Below are 15,992 nucleotides of genomic sequence, written 5' to 3' on the forward strand. Positions count from 1 at the left end.
GCTCACTGGCTCAAGGGCCACACTCAGACCTGCTCCCCTGTCCCGACCCTACTCCCGCCAGGCCTGGAAGAGTGGGTTACGCCTCCTGCCTGTCTGGGCCCAGCTCCCCAGGGATCCTTGTCCATCTTCTCCCCACCCTGCTCCAGAACAGTGCTGGCCCCCGGCCTCACCTGTCGCTGTAGGCTGCCGCCGCTGCAGCGGGCTGAGCGTATCTGTAGGCTGCGTAGCCTCCCTGCAGGGTAAGTGGGAGGAGAGAGAGCAGAGGGACTTAGTGGGGCTCCCCAGGGAAAGGCTGAGTGGGGAGAGGAGACAGACCCTGTGCGGGTGGGGCCCTGGGAGGGACTACAGACCTTCCCAGCCTCCCAGCCTCGGCTGGGTAAGGATTAGGTGGTACCTGGCCTGGGCACCTAGTTCTGGTCTAACACAGGACCGAGGACTGCAGATGGCTAGGTGGCACAGTTCAGGGCGAGGCAGGTCTGCCTGTCCACTCCATTCATTCACTCATTCATTCACACATCCATCTGTGCACTCCACACACATTAGCGGGTACCCATGACTCATCTGGCTGGGTGCTAGGCCTTGGCAAGGAAGAGGTGCTCACAGACCTGCCACCAGGCCACTGAGGCCTGACTTGGATGCTGAGGGGCTGGGAGAACCCACAGTGACTCTGGATAGTGTCCTGGACACCAGGAAGGGTCAAGGGTAAAGGGCACAAGAGGACGTGAGCTCAGATGATGTCCTGGCCTCAAATGGGCAGGTAACTGAATTGTAGGCAGCTGCCCAGGACTGAAGGGTGGCTGGGTACATGGGGTGTGGCCGTCAGTGAGTCTGAGACAGAGGAAGCAGCACATGTGGCCCCATGAAGGGGGAGAAAGGCCACCGGACCCCATCAAGGGGGGTAGGCCCTGGAGCACAGGCACCCAGGGGCCCTGCCTCCTGGCCCCTCTTGCAGCCCGTGCTGTGGGTGCCTTAGGGGCTCACTCACTGACCGCAGCGTGGTTAGGGACGTGGCAGAGTCCCACTGCCCCCATTATATGAGGCCTTGCCCACAGGAAGATGGTTTCAGCTCACAGGGCTGCTGGGCGGCCCATTAACTGCTCCCTTGATGGGTACCAACAACCAAACTGTGCCATGCTGGGATTCTCAGGGATGCCATACTCTGGGCAGACGTGGCACCCTCGCCCTCCTGGCTTCAAGGGTGGGATGGGATGGGATGGGAGGAGCGGGCAGTGAGAGAGGAGACGCCGACTTCTCATTGAGACCCACAGAACGCCTGATCCCACCCTCCCTCCCGGCGGGGCTACACTTACATAAATCTCAGCACCATAAAATCCATCCTGATACACGACCCTGGAAGCAAACGGACAAGAAAGTGGTGGGAACGCTGGAGAGGTGGGGTAGGCCGGCTCCGGTGTCTGCTGAGGAGGGAGGGGGCACGGTGCCAGCCCCGCCCATGGGACTGGCATTTTAACAAGCGTTTGCTCCAGTGCCCTGTTTTGGTATAACAATAGAGTAACACCCTTGCTGATCAGCAACTTTCTCCCACAAACCCCGGGGCCCATAGCCCACCCGACCCCAGGCAGCTGTGCCCCCCACCCCTTTAGTGATGGAGGGCACCAGACCCCAGGGAATGGGAGCAGAGAGGGCTCAGAGAAGCCCCTCGCTGACCTCAAGAGTGGACAACGGCCCCATTAAAGCATCCAGACAAGGTTCTGGGGCTCTGAATGTCCCCCTAAATGCCAGTGACCTCCGCGATGCCCGCCGTGGTGGGGATAGGGGTGAAGATAATGGAGGCAGCTGCAGGGCTGAGTTCTGGGGCTCCCACGATCCTCCCCCCCCCCAGGTCTGGAAAGGCTGCCTAGCCCCTCGCACTGCGCAGGGCCTCCCCATTTCCCTCCTCCCCGCCGTCCTACCCCCTCCTCCACGCCTCCCCCGGCCCAGGTACTCACGCTCCGTAAGTCGGGATGGGGGGTGGGGGTGGCGCAGCCCGAAATGTATTATACACGGCCCGGCCCCGGCCCCGAAGATGTGCGCCCCGGTAGGCAACGGCTGTGCCGGTGGTGGGGTAGGGGAACCCCGTCACTGCAGGAAACGGGGCCCGAGACACGTGTGAGAGGCACAAGGGGACCCACCTGGCACCCCCTCCCCGTACACCTAGCCCCCCCGCGCACCTAGCCCCCAACCCCTCCCCAAGCCCCGCCCCCGGAGCGCTACTCAGTCAACACGGCGACGGGAGGGCGGGGACGGCCCACCTGGCCCCGCCCCTCATGCCCCGCCCCCAGAGCCCCCGGAGCCCCACGGGGCCAAGTAGCTGGTCTCATCCCATCCCCGCCCCGCCCCAGCTTTTACCTGCATAGAATTCAGGCCCGTAGACTGCGCCGACCACTGGATTTAGCTTCCAGCCTAAAACAAAGGCACAGAGACCTAGTCACTGCCTTCCCCGACCCTTTTCCCACCAAAACGTATGCCTGGGAACCCCAGCGACACCGGTGGAGCCCTTGGGAACATTCCCAGGGCGCCTCCCCGCGCCGGGCCCCCCTTTCCCACACTGCCCGGACAAGTGCTGAGTTCAAAACACCAGGGTCTACTCCTTCCTGACTCTTCTGCCTGGGGGTCTGCTAGGATTCTTTCCCAATTGTGATCCTCCTCAGCCTGCCCCTGAGCAACCCTCACCCCTGGGCGTCATCCCCCGAAGCCTGGGGTACCCACCTCCCAGAAGAGAACTGGAGAGGGAAAGTGGAACTTGTTATCTACCCCCCTGAGCACAGCTGGGATGAGGGTTTCTGGAGTCAGACTCAGCACAGCCCCACCATCCGAGCTCCAGGTGGCCAGAGGCTGCAGGAAAGGCGCTTGGACTCTGCCCATAAGCTCTCCCCACTGCCTGCCAAAGTCCCCGTCCTGCTCCCTCTTCCCCGTGCTGAGTCCTGCTCTCACTTTCCTCCCGTCCTCATCTTCCCCCAGAGCGGCTGTCCGGGAGGGTGGCCTGGGAGCAGGTCGAGGAGGAAAGGGCATTTGGACTGGGAATGATAATAAGGATGGGCTGGTTTTCCTCAACACTGTGTGTGAGCCACACAGACTGTTCGAAACTCACGGGGTCCTCCCTGCCCAGTGAGCCACCACACCCTCCCCATTTTGCAGATGAAGAAACAGCCCTGGAGAGGCACAGCAACCTCCCGTCAGCAGCTGGGGAGTGGCAGAGCCAGGGATCCCAGCCTGTAATCGGCATCCCAGCCTCTCCCTTCCTGCAGGTGGGCCAGTCTTCCTCTCCCCGGGGGAACCCAGGAGCAGAGCAAAGACCTGCTCCACCTGGAGGCCTCTGCGGGGGACACCAGCTGCCTTGCAGTGGGCTCCGGCTCCAGGCATTCCGACAGGTTGGGCAGGAGGGCTTCTTGACGAGGCCCAGCCCCTTACCCCTCCTCAGTGTACCCAGGTCTTATCTCTACAGCATGCCCCGTGGGCCCGGCTCCTTGTCCCTTTGCACTGGGTGGGGAGGAACAGCAGGGACGAGAGCCCACTGGCCAGCTGGGGAGATACATCTGGAGAGGGTGGCAGTGGGCCCAGGCCATGTGTGAACCCCTGACCCAGATTCTAACAACCCCACTGCAGGGCAGGCAGACTGGAGGCAGTGAGGACGGAGGGTCGGGGTATGTTCCTCCCTCTGGCCAAGTCTTCACCCCACCCCGCATCCCCGGCCCACCATCACACAACCTTGTGTCTGGACGCCATTGCTGGGACTTTGGAATCTTCCAAAAAGATAAATCCCAGGTTAGGAAGGAAGAAACTTTTTTTGGGGGTAGGGGGGCACAGTTTCTTGCTCTGTTGCCCAGGCTGGAGTGCAGTGGACGATCACGGCTCACTGCAGCCTCGACCTCCTGGGCTCAAGCGATCCTCCTACTTCAGCCTCCCGAGTAGCTTGGGCCACAGGTGCCTGCCACTACACCCACAGCTAATTTTAAAAACTATCTGTAGAGACAGGGTCTCCCTGTGTTGCTCAGGCTGGTCTTGAAGTCCTGGGCTCAAGGGATCCTGCCACCTTAGCCTCCCAAAGTGCTGGGATTACAGGCATGAGCCACTGCATCAGGCTGAAAGAAATGTTTTGTTTTCTGGGAAGACCTCCAGTCCGAAGAACTGACTCTTCTTACTAGAAGGCCCATGATGGAGCAGAGTCCTGGAGACCCTGACCCCAAGCCCAGACTCCCCGGGGCTCCATCCAGTGACTCTTCTGGGTCCACTCTGGGCGAGTGAGACTTGGAGGCTGCATGTGTGCTTCAGATGGCCCTGGGCACCTTCACCTGTCAATTCTGGCTTCCTGGATGCCTCCACCGGTGATTCTGGCTTCCTGGGTGCCCTCCCCTGTCAATTCTGCCTCTCTGGGAGCCTCCACCTGTCTCTGCTGCCTCCATTTCACTGTCTGGAACCCCAGATGGCAGAGACAGCCTGAGACTGCCTGGCTGGCCTGTTTCTACCGTAAATAGTTAACACCTGGGCAAACCTGGTGGGTTTGTTTTCTACAATGGAAACCTCCACCCCCAACTGATGAATTCCAGAGTGTTGGGTAGTGTTGAAGCCAAGTCACGCAGCACTCGCCACCAGAGCCCATGGGTTGGCTTCGGTGCCAACCTGCAGAGAACCCAGGGCCGTCCCACTGCAGCCCTCTGTGCCCAGGCTGATGAAGAGATTGAGATGAAACGGCTCTTGCTGCAAAGGTGGGCAAAGGTTCCCACCTCCCTCCATTCCCTGATGTTTCACTGGTGTAGGTTCCGTGCCCCTCATGAGCCGCATAGCCCGAGGCCATTCAGAGATGGGTCTGTTCTGATTTCCATGCTCCCCTGAATTCTCACTTCTGCCCAGACAGCGGTGGGTGTGGCCCTTGGGTGCAGAGTGGGCAGCTGGTTCCAGAGATTTTGCAGCCCCGCTGGTTGATCACCTGTACCCTATAAAAATGTCTACCGCTTTTACTTCCTGTGCCAAGTGCCAGATCACAGAAGAGTCACACCCAGGACGCACTCGGGATGCTTGCAAAGTGGGAACACTCCCAAATTTTTAAAAAGAATTTGAGATGTGTAAGTCCTCAGAAAAGCAGGATATGAGGCCATGAGAATCAAGTCTAACTTGGGCCAGGCCAGAGGCCCGGCCCCACCCCAGCATCGGACACCAGGAGAAGAGCTCGGGGGAGAGGTGGCGGATCGGGCGGTCCTGTCCAGGCTTCCATGCTGGTTGTCACCTGACTCCACGTATGGCCGATCACATGGGGGGCCATGAGAGGCTGGGGGTGACACCGTCTGAAAGTCCACGGCAACAGGGAGATCCATCCCGTCTAGGGGCAGCGCTGAGGCTTCTAAGGGGTCCGAGTGGGAAGCTGCTCCCTGGCAGGAATGAGCGGAGGCCCCCAACGTACGCCTGCTCTGCTCAAAGCAGGCCCCTTGCCGGATGGAGTTAAGACTCGCAGTGGCCACCAGTGGTCCCCCTGCTTCTCCAGAGCCAGCACTTAGCGTCGGCAGATCCATCTCCAAGGAAGACCGGCCACCTCCGTTTGCAGTGGGGTGCACACACACAAGATTCCTCAGTCTCCCCTTGCTGTGGACAGCAGGGCTCAGCCTGGGGCCTCAGGGCCACCCATGTCAAAAAGCCCCAGGAAGGCAGTTACTGTAATCACATCCTCCGAAATCTGAGCACCTCCCCCCGGGCCCTTCCTCATGGTGCTTAAAGGTGTCATTTGTCATCGAACAGCTCTGGGGGATGGTGTCACTATTCCTGTTTTGCAGATGAAGAGACTGGAACTCAGAGAGGTCTAGAAGCTCATCCAAGGCCCCCCGTGCCCTCACTGCCCTCCCTGAGCCTGCTTACACTGGGAATCGGTGCAGCAGGTCTCAGCACAGAAGCCTTCAAACTCTGGCCCTGGGGGAAAGTCAGTCCTAATCCAGGAAGGCACAGCTATCCCCCTGGATCAGAAGCCTGCACGTGTGGCCTCTGGGGGCCAGGCACGCCTGGGAAAGTGAGACTCCAGCTATGGCTGACTGTATGGGGCCATGAGAGGGGTGAGTGGCCCCCAGCTCTCCTCCCGCCTCTTCTGCCCCACCCGCTTCTGACCGGGAGCAGAGCGGCAGCCCCAGGGCTGGGACACTGGGGACGGAGGCTGCCTAGGATCCAGGAAGGTCAGCCTGCAGCAGCCTCAGCTCCCCCAGGGCCTCTGTCCCAGCCAGTGACCCCAGCAGCCTTGTGGGGGGACCCAGCCCCTTACCGTTGGTGTAGGGGTTCCCCGTCTTCTTGTTGGTCATCACTCGGGCCGTGGCATTATTGACCTGTTCAAAGAGGGAAGGAGAGAGAGGAAGAGGGAGGATTAGCCTCCTGGAAGACCCACTGGCCACTCCTCCCCGCCCTGCTCCGTTAGCCCCCGGCACCCCCCGCCCCAGCCTCCTCTCTCCACCATGCTGCCTGCCCTCCGGGAGCCTTGGCCCCCACTGCTCCCAGCACGGGCTAAAGCCCCGCCTGGCCCAGGACCCCAGACCCAGGCCTGCTGGCCTGTATCCTTCATGTGGCTGTTCCCATAAACCCAGCCCCAGGCTCCCAGGCACCCCAGGACAGCTGGAGCAGCTCCCTGGTGGACTCTCCACAGAGTGCTCTCTGACCAGAACCAGCTAAGAGGCTGGACTCCAGGATGCCCCCTCCTCCCTGAGGCTGCCAAGGCCCACCTAGGCATGGGTACCAAGATGGCCACATACCCCTCCTGGATGATGCCCCCCTCCCCCGAGGCCAGAGTCCTCAATGCTGCAGAGTACAGAGGTCTCTGATGGGGCCCGTGTGCCCCTGGAGGACGAGGCCGACAGGGAGGGGGGCTCTGGGCACGAAGTCACCTATTTTCCACACATATGCCTGGGTGAGGCTGTCCAGGGGCAGCCTGGGATGGAGAAGACGAGGCATGTGTGGGAGGGAGTCGAGAATAGCAGGGGTGATGGGTCCCAGGAAGGGGTCTGGGCTGTTCTGCCTCCCCTGCGTCCTCCATTGAGCCCCGAGGGCGTGGGGCTGCAGCCTGGCCAAGCCAGTGCCTTCAGAAGTCTGGAAACCTCCTCTCAGGCCCTTCACTGCCTGCCTGAGGGCTCTGTCATGGTGGCTGGCCCCAGCCCTCCTCCAGCCACCCTTTGGCTGCCCTGCCTGTTGGGGTACCCAGCTCCAGACACCCAGGCCGCAGCAAGGGAACACAGCCCACTGGCACTCTGGACCCCTGGGGAGCAGGGAAGGAGGGGACAGAGCGGGATGGGTGTCAGGGAGGGACCCAGGGCCCCTCTCCCTGCTCCTCCTTGGGGCCTGGTCTCTTCCTCTGCCCTGGCCATTGCCACTGCTGCCTCTGCTTCTACCCAAACAAGGGGTGGAGTGGGGCCAAGGTGGGGGCAAACTGCAGGGCCCAGACTGGGCCATGTGGGGACAGGTTGGGGACAGCCGCTGCTCCATGGTGAGCAGGGTCTGGGGATTAATGGCTCCTTGGCCGGGTGGGCTGGCCATGGTCCTTGAAGCTGCCAAGCCCCAAATACAGGATTTCTGGGGCTCCTCCAGTGTCTGGTTGGGGACAGCGCCTCTCCTAGGAAAAGGAGGGAAGAGGCAGGGGAGAGGGGACCTCGGGTGAGCCTGAAGGGGTGACAGGTGATAGGGCTCAGCCGGCAGCTGAGCACCCTGGCCTTAGTGCGACCCTTCCTCCCACCCCAGGGAACCCTGGCCAGGCTCTCTGAAGGGTGCGGCAGTGGCAGGGCTGGTTGGTTGGGGGAGCTGGGGGGCAGGTGGGCGATCTTGGGGCATCCCTGCCGCAGCACACTTATCTGAGCACCTCAATTTTCCGTCCCTCTACGATCGTCCCATTCAGCTTCTCCCGGGCTCGGTCAGCATCTGAGCTAGTTTCAAAAGTTACAAACCCAAAACCCTGTGAGCAGAGGAGAGGGAAGGACAGGCACGGAGAGGAGGACACAGGGCGAGAAAGAGGAGGAAGACGAGGAAGAAGAGGAGTGGGAGGGGGGCAGGGGAGTGGGGAGAGAGAGAGAAGGGGTTGAGTCAGGTGAGTTGAGGCAGAGACGCAGGCAGCCCAGAGGTCTGTCCTAGGGCCACCGGCAGGATGCCAGGAGGGGTATGGGCCCCAGGGGGGCAGCTGCTGACCCAGCCTGAGCCCAGCCTGAGCTGATCACCCGGCATCTCCAAAGGGACAGGCCAAAGCCACATAAGAGACGCCATACCTGACCACAGGCCAGGCCTGCCCCCTGAACCCCACCTTGGGGTAGGGGGCCCAGGCTGGGCTTCAGGACCTGCAGGGGCAGCCCACCCATCTCCACCCTCGGAGCCCAGGGTAGAGGGTCGTGCCTTCCTGGAAGGGGAGTAGGGCTTGTCTCCGCCGGACACCCTCCCCAGCCTGCCCTCTCTGTAGCCCCTCCCTCAAGCTTCAAGGCCAGTGGTCCCCTGGGGTAAGTGTTCAGTGGGGGTGGGGCCCGGACCTGGGGCCCAGGGCTCTGGGGTGCAGGCAAGAGGTCCTGGTGGCTCAGAAAGAAAAAGCGGCAGCGGCAGCAACAACACAGACAGCTGGGGTGGGGGCGGGGCGGGTGGGGGCGGAAGAGCGGGGAATACAAGCACCCGTGTCGCTCAGGGGTCCTCGGGCGCGAAGCTCTCCAGGAAGGAAACGCACATTTCACACGTTAGCCTGGCGGGACCTACAGCCGGCGCTGTAAGGCGGCAGCTCCGTGCGGCACCCACCTTGGAGCCCCGCTCGTTAAAAATGATCTCCACGTCTAAAATTTTTCCGAATTGCTGCAGAGACAGAGACAAAGAGGGAGTGGGGCAGACAGGAAAGTGCGGGTTAAGACTGCTGGCCCAGCTGCCCGCTCCACTCCTGAGACGCTCATGCCTGTGCTCTGCCCTCGGCCCCCAGCTTGGGAAAGGAGACCGGGGACCCCCTCCCACCCCTGGCCATGGAGCAGCTGGGACTTGGCCACTTGGAGAAGGCGATGGTGGGGATAGGGTGCCCAAGGCATCACCAAGAGGGTCCTTGGTGTGGTGTGGGGACAGGGACAGCTCTCCCAGCCTCTCCTGGAGGCCCGTGTCTCCCTTCTGCCTTGGGGAGCTTTTACTGCCAGGACACTAACTCCAGCTGCCAGCTGGGCATGGGGGTAGGCACATCACCAGTGTCCCCTCCTCACCCTGCTAGGACATGGCCACTTGGAAAGGGTTACAGTGGGGATAGGGTACCCAAGGCATGACTGCCCCACCCCTAATTCACACTAAAGGGTAAAGGTCTGCTTTGAGACCCTTCTCTAAAGGATGGGGGAGAGGGAGACAGAGGGACATGAGTGTCCATTAGGGACAAAGTGCCACAGAGAAGAGAAAGTGCTGGGGTCAGGAAATGGAGACTGAGGCCACCGGAGAGCAGGACCCCTGGTTGGGAAATGGGACCCTCAGGCCTCCCTGAGATGGGGAGGAGGTTGGGCAGGGGGAAAATGGGGTTGAGGGTGTGAGGGCAAGAGGGAAGCATAGGAGGGTCTTCCGCCCAGGCCCCCGGGACCCTGCACAGCCTGTCATGGGGCTGTGCTGGCGTGCGGTGCTGAGCAACTGTTCAGGTCGTTTGGGCCAGCTGGGCCATGACGCTCTAGCTGCCTTCTTCCCTCCCATTGTTGGCCATAGTCCCCATGGGGCAGCCCTGTCTCTCTCACTGGTACTGAGACCATGAGCCTGTGAACAGCCCCGAACAACACTTCTGAGGTCCCCAGGGCCTGTCCTGAAGCCTGCAGTGCAGGCAACTGATGGGGGTTTCCCAGTCACCTCCACACAGTCCTGGAGGCGGGGGGTGCAGCAAGCCCCAGTGGGGCCAGACAGCAATGAAATCCCAACTCTGCCAGGTGCTGAAAAGAGGGGGACAGTAACCTCCGTTCTGCAGGGACCCAGGGAGCTGATGGGGGACAGTGTCCCCATCCTGCAGGGACCCAGGGAGTTGATGGCGGATGGTGCCCCTGTCCTGTAGGGACCCAGGGAGCTGACAGGGGATGGTGTCCCCGTCCTGCAGGGACTGAGTGTATGTAAACAGGTCCCCTGCAGGGGGCATCCAGCCAGAGCTCCAAAATGTCAGCTGCTATTAAGGGGCAGCCCCAGGCCCAGAGAAACCTGGCAGCTTGCTCAGGACCCAGAGTCGAGAAGGGACAGAGTCCTTGCCATCTGATGATTCTAAGTCATGCCAGCCCTCCAATGAGTCTAGACTGCAAATCCAACCAGGCCGGGCTCCTGAGACGGGGAGTGGACTTCTAGGGATCACGTCAGGGGGTAGGTGAACGGGGACCTCTCCACCCTGGGGCTGCCAGAGGTGCTTCCAGTCTGCCTGACAAATCCCAGCTGGGTCAGGGTGGCATGAGGGGAGAGGCTGGGATTCAGGAGCCAGAGGCTGTCTACCTGCGCAGCAGAGGTGGGGTGGGCACCGTGGCAGGCAGGCGGAAGAGAAGTTTGGAGGGAGGGAAGAAACACGGCCGGGCTGCGTGGTCCTCTGTGGCCAGGGCAGGCCTGGGAGCCTGGGCTGAGCCACCCAGCTGCTGCCGCTCACCCACCACTCGGCAGCCCCAGCCCCCTGCAGGCATCAACACCTGCCTGGCGCATTCAAGTCCAATAACAACAAAGTGACCCAGGACCCAGGGGCAGCCCTGCACGTTCTCACGGTGACCCCACCACGGGGCTGAAGCCTACAGTGCAAAACCCGGAACAGGCCCTCGGAGTCCAGCAGGGGCTTCACTTCCCATTGACTGTGCATCCGGTTCCAAGTTCCCCACCTGGGGGCCCGGGGGACACAGGCCCGGAGAGGTTGACTGCCCGGCCCCCGGGCACACAAGAGAGGCCAGGGCTGGGGCTGCTGCTCTATGGGAGGTTGAGCTGCCCCTCCAGGTACCCTCTTGCGAGGAGACAGGAGCCAGAATGTGGGAACAGGGCGGTCATAACCAAACTGGCTGCGAGGTCCCAAGGTACTCTAGGAAACCCCTGAGCTCAGGTGGTCTGGGGGGCATGGGTGGATTTCTGGCTGGGAGCAGGAGGGGTGGGGTTTGAGGGGCAGCCGCAACAGATCCCCCTACTCCTCAGCTTGAGGCCTTCCTCTTCCCCGCCACCGTCCCAGCAGGTTCAGGTCAGGGCAGGGCTGGGCCCAGGAGGGAAGGAATCCTGGGGCCCCGGAGGCTCCCTGCGCAGTGGGAGGCAGGAAACCCGGGGGAACAGGTGTCGGCAGGAAGGCAGGGCCTGTGGGCGCCACCCTGGAGCTGGGGCAGGTGTGGAGGGCAGGATGGGTGGGGCCGCGCACACTCACCCCGAACATTTGCCGCAAGTCGGGGTCCCTGAACCGGAAGGGGATGTTGGAGACGTGTAGCCGCTTGGGCTGCTGCTTCTCTGTAGGGTCGGAGGGGTGGAGCGGCTGGCTGTCCGTCTGTGCCGCCTCGTCTGTCTGCTGCAGGGAGAGGACTGGGCTGTGGAGGCTGCCTCTGTGTGCGGGGTTGCCCATCCCCTCTGCTAAAGGGTCGGCAGAGTCTAAAGGCCAGATTCTCCCCACCCTTCTGGGCCTCTCCCCCATCCCTGGGCTGGGATCCTTGGCAGAATCTGGGCAGACGGTTCCCATGAGATACAGCACAGGGGCACCTCACACAGAGAGGCCCCACCTCTAGGCCTTCGCCCAAACTGTGCAGGTGAGGCCGCCTCCCTCCCGCCATCCCAGTGCAAGGCCTCCTGGCCTGCTCTGTTCCCCGCTCCCGCAGCCCAGGCCTGTCCACAGAGGCTGAACCTCCACGGTCTCTTAGCCCCACTGACATCTCAAGGCAGTTCTGGGAGCCTGAGGACCCCACTGTCTTTCAAGTCCTGATGATGAAGTGGTGAACTGCAGACAGATGTCGGCCTGGCCCGAGGGTCCGCCTGTCCGAAGGTGCTGCCCTTCGTGTCCCCCATCCCTGCCATGCTCCTGCTTATTCCAGCCTGCTGCTGCCACTCAGAACCTTTGGGGTTCACCTCCAGAAGCCTCTCCCAAGGCAGGGCGTGGCCAAGTCCAGTCCTCTATAGCCCCCATTTGGACCCAAATACTGGTGGGCAGATGGGCTCCCAAAGACTTGGGTCTCAGGAAACAAAAGCCACCTGGCCCCCAGCTCGCTGTGAGAAGGCAGGGGTGTCGCCCGAGGCAGCGCAGTGTGGCCTGTGTGAGGCTTTTCCTGCGTGGTCTTCTCCAGTGGACTGGCCGTGAGCTCACGGCAAGGCTGGCCTTCAGTCTGGCTTGGTCCTGGCTGTATCCACAGAGCAGGAACTCCAGGCATGTGGCAGGTGCTTCATCAGCATCGGCCGGGTGGATGCACGGGTGACTGTCCGAGGTGGCCATTAGCTCATCACGACCTAGGCCCAGGCCCAAGGGCCTCTACAGGCCAGTTCCATGGATGCAGCCAAACCGCAGGTGCCAGCCTCGCAGGCTGTTTGTTTTCCCGCTCAGCCCACTGGCAAGGCGGGTGGGTGGCACAGGAGCACCAGGGTACAGGAGAGTCCCTCGGTGGCGACAGGCACAGGTGGTGGGTGCACGCTCCAGCTCCCGCGGGGTGCCCTGGAGGGGTTCTCACTGTCCACACTTCCTCCAACAATTTAAGCTCAGCTGCCCATGGGAACAGCAGGCTGACAATGTGCCTTTTATTGGCTTCCTTCGCCTTCCCGCCTCAATTCCATGCTGCCCCTTAGGGGTTTTGGGAGATCATCTCCCAAATACACCCTGTGCATTTGAATCTTTGGCTCTGGGCCTCCTGACACTCCCAGTGGACAGCTGGAGACCACACACGGAGAACCCCTCCTCAGAGGCCATGTGGCTTCTGGGACAGGACGCCAGCCGAAGGTAGGAGGGTCTTGGCTCCAGCCGTCTGGATCCTTTCTGGAGCGGCCGTAGAGGAGACTGGGGTCCCTTAGAGGCCTACACGGCAGCCGGTACAAATGGAAGGCTGGTAGCATGGTCTCCCGTGTGGCCTGCGGAGCAGAGGCAGCCAGCCTGCGAGCAAGAGGAGGAAAGCCAAGAAGAGAGGCTCCAGAGAGCCATTCCCACGCATCTCCAGCTAGGCGAAGCACCTGGCTGCTGAAGCCACTTTCCGGAGGGCATCTGTCGCGGGCAACCAAAGGAGTGCTGAGTTAGGACGGTGAGTGGGGAGCCTGGGGTCACAGGGCTGGAGGCCTCGGCCCACGGCAAAGGAAATGGAGCCAGGGAGGCAGAGCCGTGCCAAGGTCACACTACAGCTAAGTGGCCACAGCTTGGTCCCTCGACTCCTGTCTGAGTGGCTGTCCGGCTGTCGCCGCCCCCAGCACGGCCACCCTGGTTGTCCTTTCTGGAAGGACAGGCTGCTCCCCTGCATTTCCGCATGTAGCCAGAAAGCCTCTGACCAGGCTCCAGGGCAGCAGGTGCCGCTAGGTGACCAGAGGGGAAGTCACCACTTCCTGGGCTGCGCAGGGTGGTGGAGGACACAGCCTCCCCCGTACCACAGCTTCTTCCCTGGCGACAGCCCCTGGCACTGGCAGTGGGGCAGGCTGGGAGTGGGGTCTCAAGGGCTGTAGGGCTGTGGAGCACACGTGTCCACGTTCCTGATGCAGCTCTGTCCCCTGCGTTGAACAGCGAGGATGCAGCACACACCCCACAGCGTGGGAACCGCTGTCCCGATGCTCACCTGGGCATGCGCTGCAGGACCTGTCTCAGCAGACGCGCCATGTGGTATGCTGTCCCAATTCCGACAAGCATGTGTTCTGAGCTGTACGTGTTCCCAAGGTGTGAGGCTCCGGGTGGATCCTGCATCTCCCTCAGGACCCCAAGAGGTGGAAAATGGTCATGGCTCTCGGAGGGCATGAGCCCCCAGGCTTGGGCAAGCTGGGCGGCTGCTCCTTGGGGTTCCCTGACATGTGCCACCCCCATCAGTGGGGGCTGAGCTTTGGCACGGAGGCATCTGTGGTGGGCACAGCTGGCAGGGCCAGGAGGGTGGATGACAGGCCTCCGGAGACTCCTGGTCTGGCTGGCATCACGTCCCCAGTGACGGGCAATGCAGGGCAGCTGACTCTGGCTCGACAGGGGTATGCGGGAGGCTCCTCCATCCAAGCCTGGGGAACTGGAGATGCCCAGCAGCCCAGTTTCCCAGTTCTGCTGCCATCCTCCTTGGTCCCAAGTTTTCTTGCAGAAAGCAAGCCTATGCTAGACCTCCGGAGGGGACGACCTTACCCCTGAACCAAGGCGAGACCGTCCAAACATCCACCGATCTTTATGGAGGTCTGAACCCCACCCTCCCATTGGACAGGCGTGGGTCTTTCCTCCTCGGTGGACAGGGATGTGCCTGTGCCCTCTGCTGCTCTTGGGTACAGGTGACTGAGTCATCCCAGATTCAGGAATCCAGCCTGGAGAGGGGCACACAGCTCTGGCCTCTGAGCAGCAGAGGGCGATGGTGGGAACCAGCCCCGCGCCCACCCACAGGCGCTGGGGCATCCACCCCAAAGTCCTAAAGGGGAGCAGCCGAGGATGAGGCGGGAGGAAGGGGGTGATGGGGTGTGAGTGGGAGGAGCCATGAGTGGGGCCAGGACACAGGTGAGGAAGAAGCCATTCTATCCCTGCTCAGCCCCGGGCAGAGGCTAAGTGGGTTCAATGGCTGTGAAACCGTCAGGTGTGCAGGGAAGCCCTCGCATGACTGCACACGGACTGCCCCAGGCCGGGGGATGGGGGCCTTCCCACACTGACTGTAGCGGTCCAGCAGCCTCCACCGCCTTTCCAGCTTTCTCAGGGGCTTTCTTTCCCCCACTCAAAAAAAAAAAAAAAAGCCGTCTTTGCTTCTTGTTCTCAAATGCAGGGAAAGAGAAAAGGACAGGACTGCCCTTCCCTCCCGACTGGGCTGGGGGTCCTGCTTCTGCATCCTTCCCCAGCTCTGTCTTGGCCCGGCCATTATGGACACCTCCCCAGCCCACTCAAGTTCGGGGTGGGGGTCTAGTTGCCACACAGCACCTCCCACTCTCCACATCCTCTGAGGAGCCTGCACCCACTTTCGCCTGGGGCCCCCAAGCTTGGCACGGAGACAGACAAAGGGAATGAGCCCCAGGCAGGGTCTGGTAGACCTAGGCAGACCCTGGACAGCAGGTGGGACCCGGTGGCTGTTGTTGGCACGGAACCAAGCTGTGCTGCTGTGGCACCACATGAACCGGTTTTTGGAAATCCCTTCCTCGACAGCGCCGTCTCCCTTCGTTCCTCCAAAGACCTCCTAGGCACTCAGGCAAGGACCTGCCTTGGTGAGCCGCTGGTGGGCAGCCAGTCAGCCTTGGAGGAGGGGTTCTCTGCGTGTGGTCTCAACCTATCCACTGGGAGTGTCTGCTTCAGAGCCTGGTGGCACTGGTGGCCCCTCCTTGGGTGAAGCTGTTGGCTCCCACGTGGCATTTGAAGAACACAGGATTTCAAGCCCCTCCTGATCTGGCCTCTGCACCGTGGCACGGGCAGCCGACTGACGCCTCATCCACTCCCACCTCCCAGCCTGGGTAGGGGCATCTCAGCTGAGCCTCACTGTGGCGTTGCTTTGGGGACCAGCGCCTCCTCTCTTCCGCCCTTCTCAGGCCAGTGGCCAGCCACGGCCTACCCCTCACCCCTTCCATAAGCTGTGAGAGCCAAGAACACAGTGACCAAGGGCTGCAGCTCCTGGCTGAGGGGAGAGGGCCTTGGCCAGACTGTGAAGCCTGTAGTTATAGATGAGGTGGTCCAAATGGAAGATCAGGGCAAGTGCGGGAGTTTCCGAGGAGGCTCAGGCCCGACGGACAGCAGAAAGGACAGAGGTTCATCCTGGGGCTGCAGGTCACTGGGCAGAGAGGCCTCCAGGGACCTGGGCGCACAGGCATCTATGCCTGCAGTGAAGCCAGGGGTGCAGAGCCCAGGTCCCCAGCAGGCAGTGAGGGAGGTGCTGGCCCCTCAGACATCAGGCCCTTGCGGCCCACGTGGGGTCCCTTCTGGCAGGTGGAGGAGCCCA

The 15,992-nt window shown here is 62.0% G+C and overlaps 1 protein-coding gene across 58 annotated transcripts in view, besides 2 other annotated features; it reads right to left on the reverse strand.

The window, feature by feature from the left end:
• RBFOX3 (RNA binding fox-1 homolog 3) overlaps positions 1–15,992 on the reverse strand; it is a 576,227-nt gene that overhangs the window by 5,998 nt on the left and 554,237 nt on the right. For 24 of the 58 annotated variants that reach the window (NM_001385807.1, NM_001385814.1, NM_001350451.2 and 21 more), the window contains 8 exons: positions 11,309–11,446; positions 8,731–8,784; positions 7,820–7,912; positions 6,242–6,302; positions 2,350–2,403; positions 1,950–2,082; positions 1,311–1,491; positions 171–232 (listed from right to left, as the gene is read on the reverse strand). In NM_001385807.1, coding sequence (NP_001372736.1) covers positions 171–232; positions 1,311–1,491; positions 1,950–2,082; positions 2,350–2,403; positions 6,242–6,302; positions 7,820–7,912; positions 8,731–8,784; positions 11,309–11,446 — 776 coding nt within the window. Of the gene's footprint in view, positions 1–170; positions 233–1,310; positions 1,492–1,949; positions 2,083–2,349; positions 2,425–6,241; positions 6,303–7,819; positions 7,913–8,730; positions 8,785–11,308; positions 11,447–15,992 lie in introns of all 58 variants that reach the window. The other 34 variants (NM_001385838.1, NM_001385842.1, NM_001350453.2 and 31 more) reach the window with 7 other exon arrangements.
• Positions 2,769–3,482: an enhancer, noted in NCBI's record as "H3K4me1 hESC enhancer chr17:77094193-77094906 (GRCh37/hg19 assembly coordinates)". NCBI's record gives its function as "activates a minimal SCP1, AML or CMV promoter by ChIP-STARR-seq in primed H9 embryonic stem cells {active_cell/tissue: H9 hESC(primed)}" and the evidence as "EXISTENCE:reporter gene assay evidence [ECO:0000049][PMID:30033119]".
• Positions 7,751–8,736: an enhancer, noted in NCBI's record as "H3K4me1 hESC enhancer chr17:77099175-77100160 (GRCh37/hg19 assembly coordinates)". NCBI's record gives its function as "activates a minimal SCP1, AML or CMV promoter by ChIP-STARR-seq in naive H9 embryonic stem cells {active_cell/tissue: H9 hESC(naive)}" and the evidence as "EXISTENCE:reporter gene assay evidence [ECO:0000049][PMID:30033119]".

Source organism: Homo sapiens, chromosome 17 (assembly GCF_000001405.40).
Source record: "Homo sapiens chromosome 17, GRCh38.p14 Primary Assembly".
NCBI lineage: Eukaryota > Metazoa > Chordata > Mammalia > Primates > Hominidae > Homo > Homo sapiens.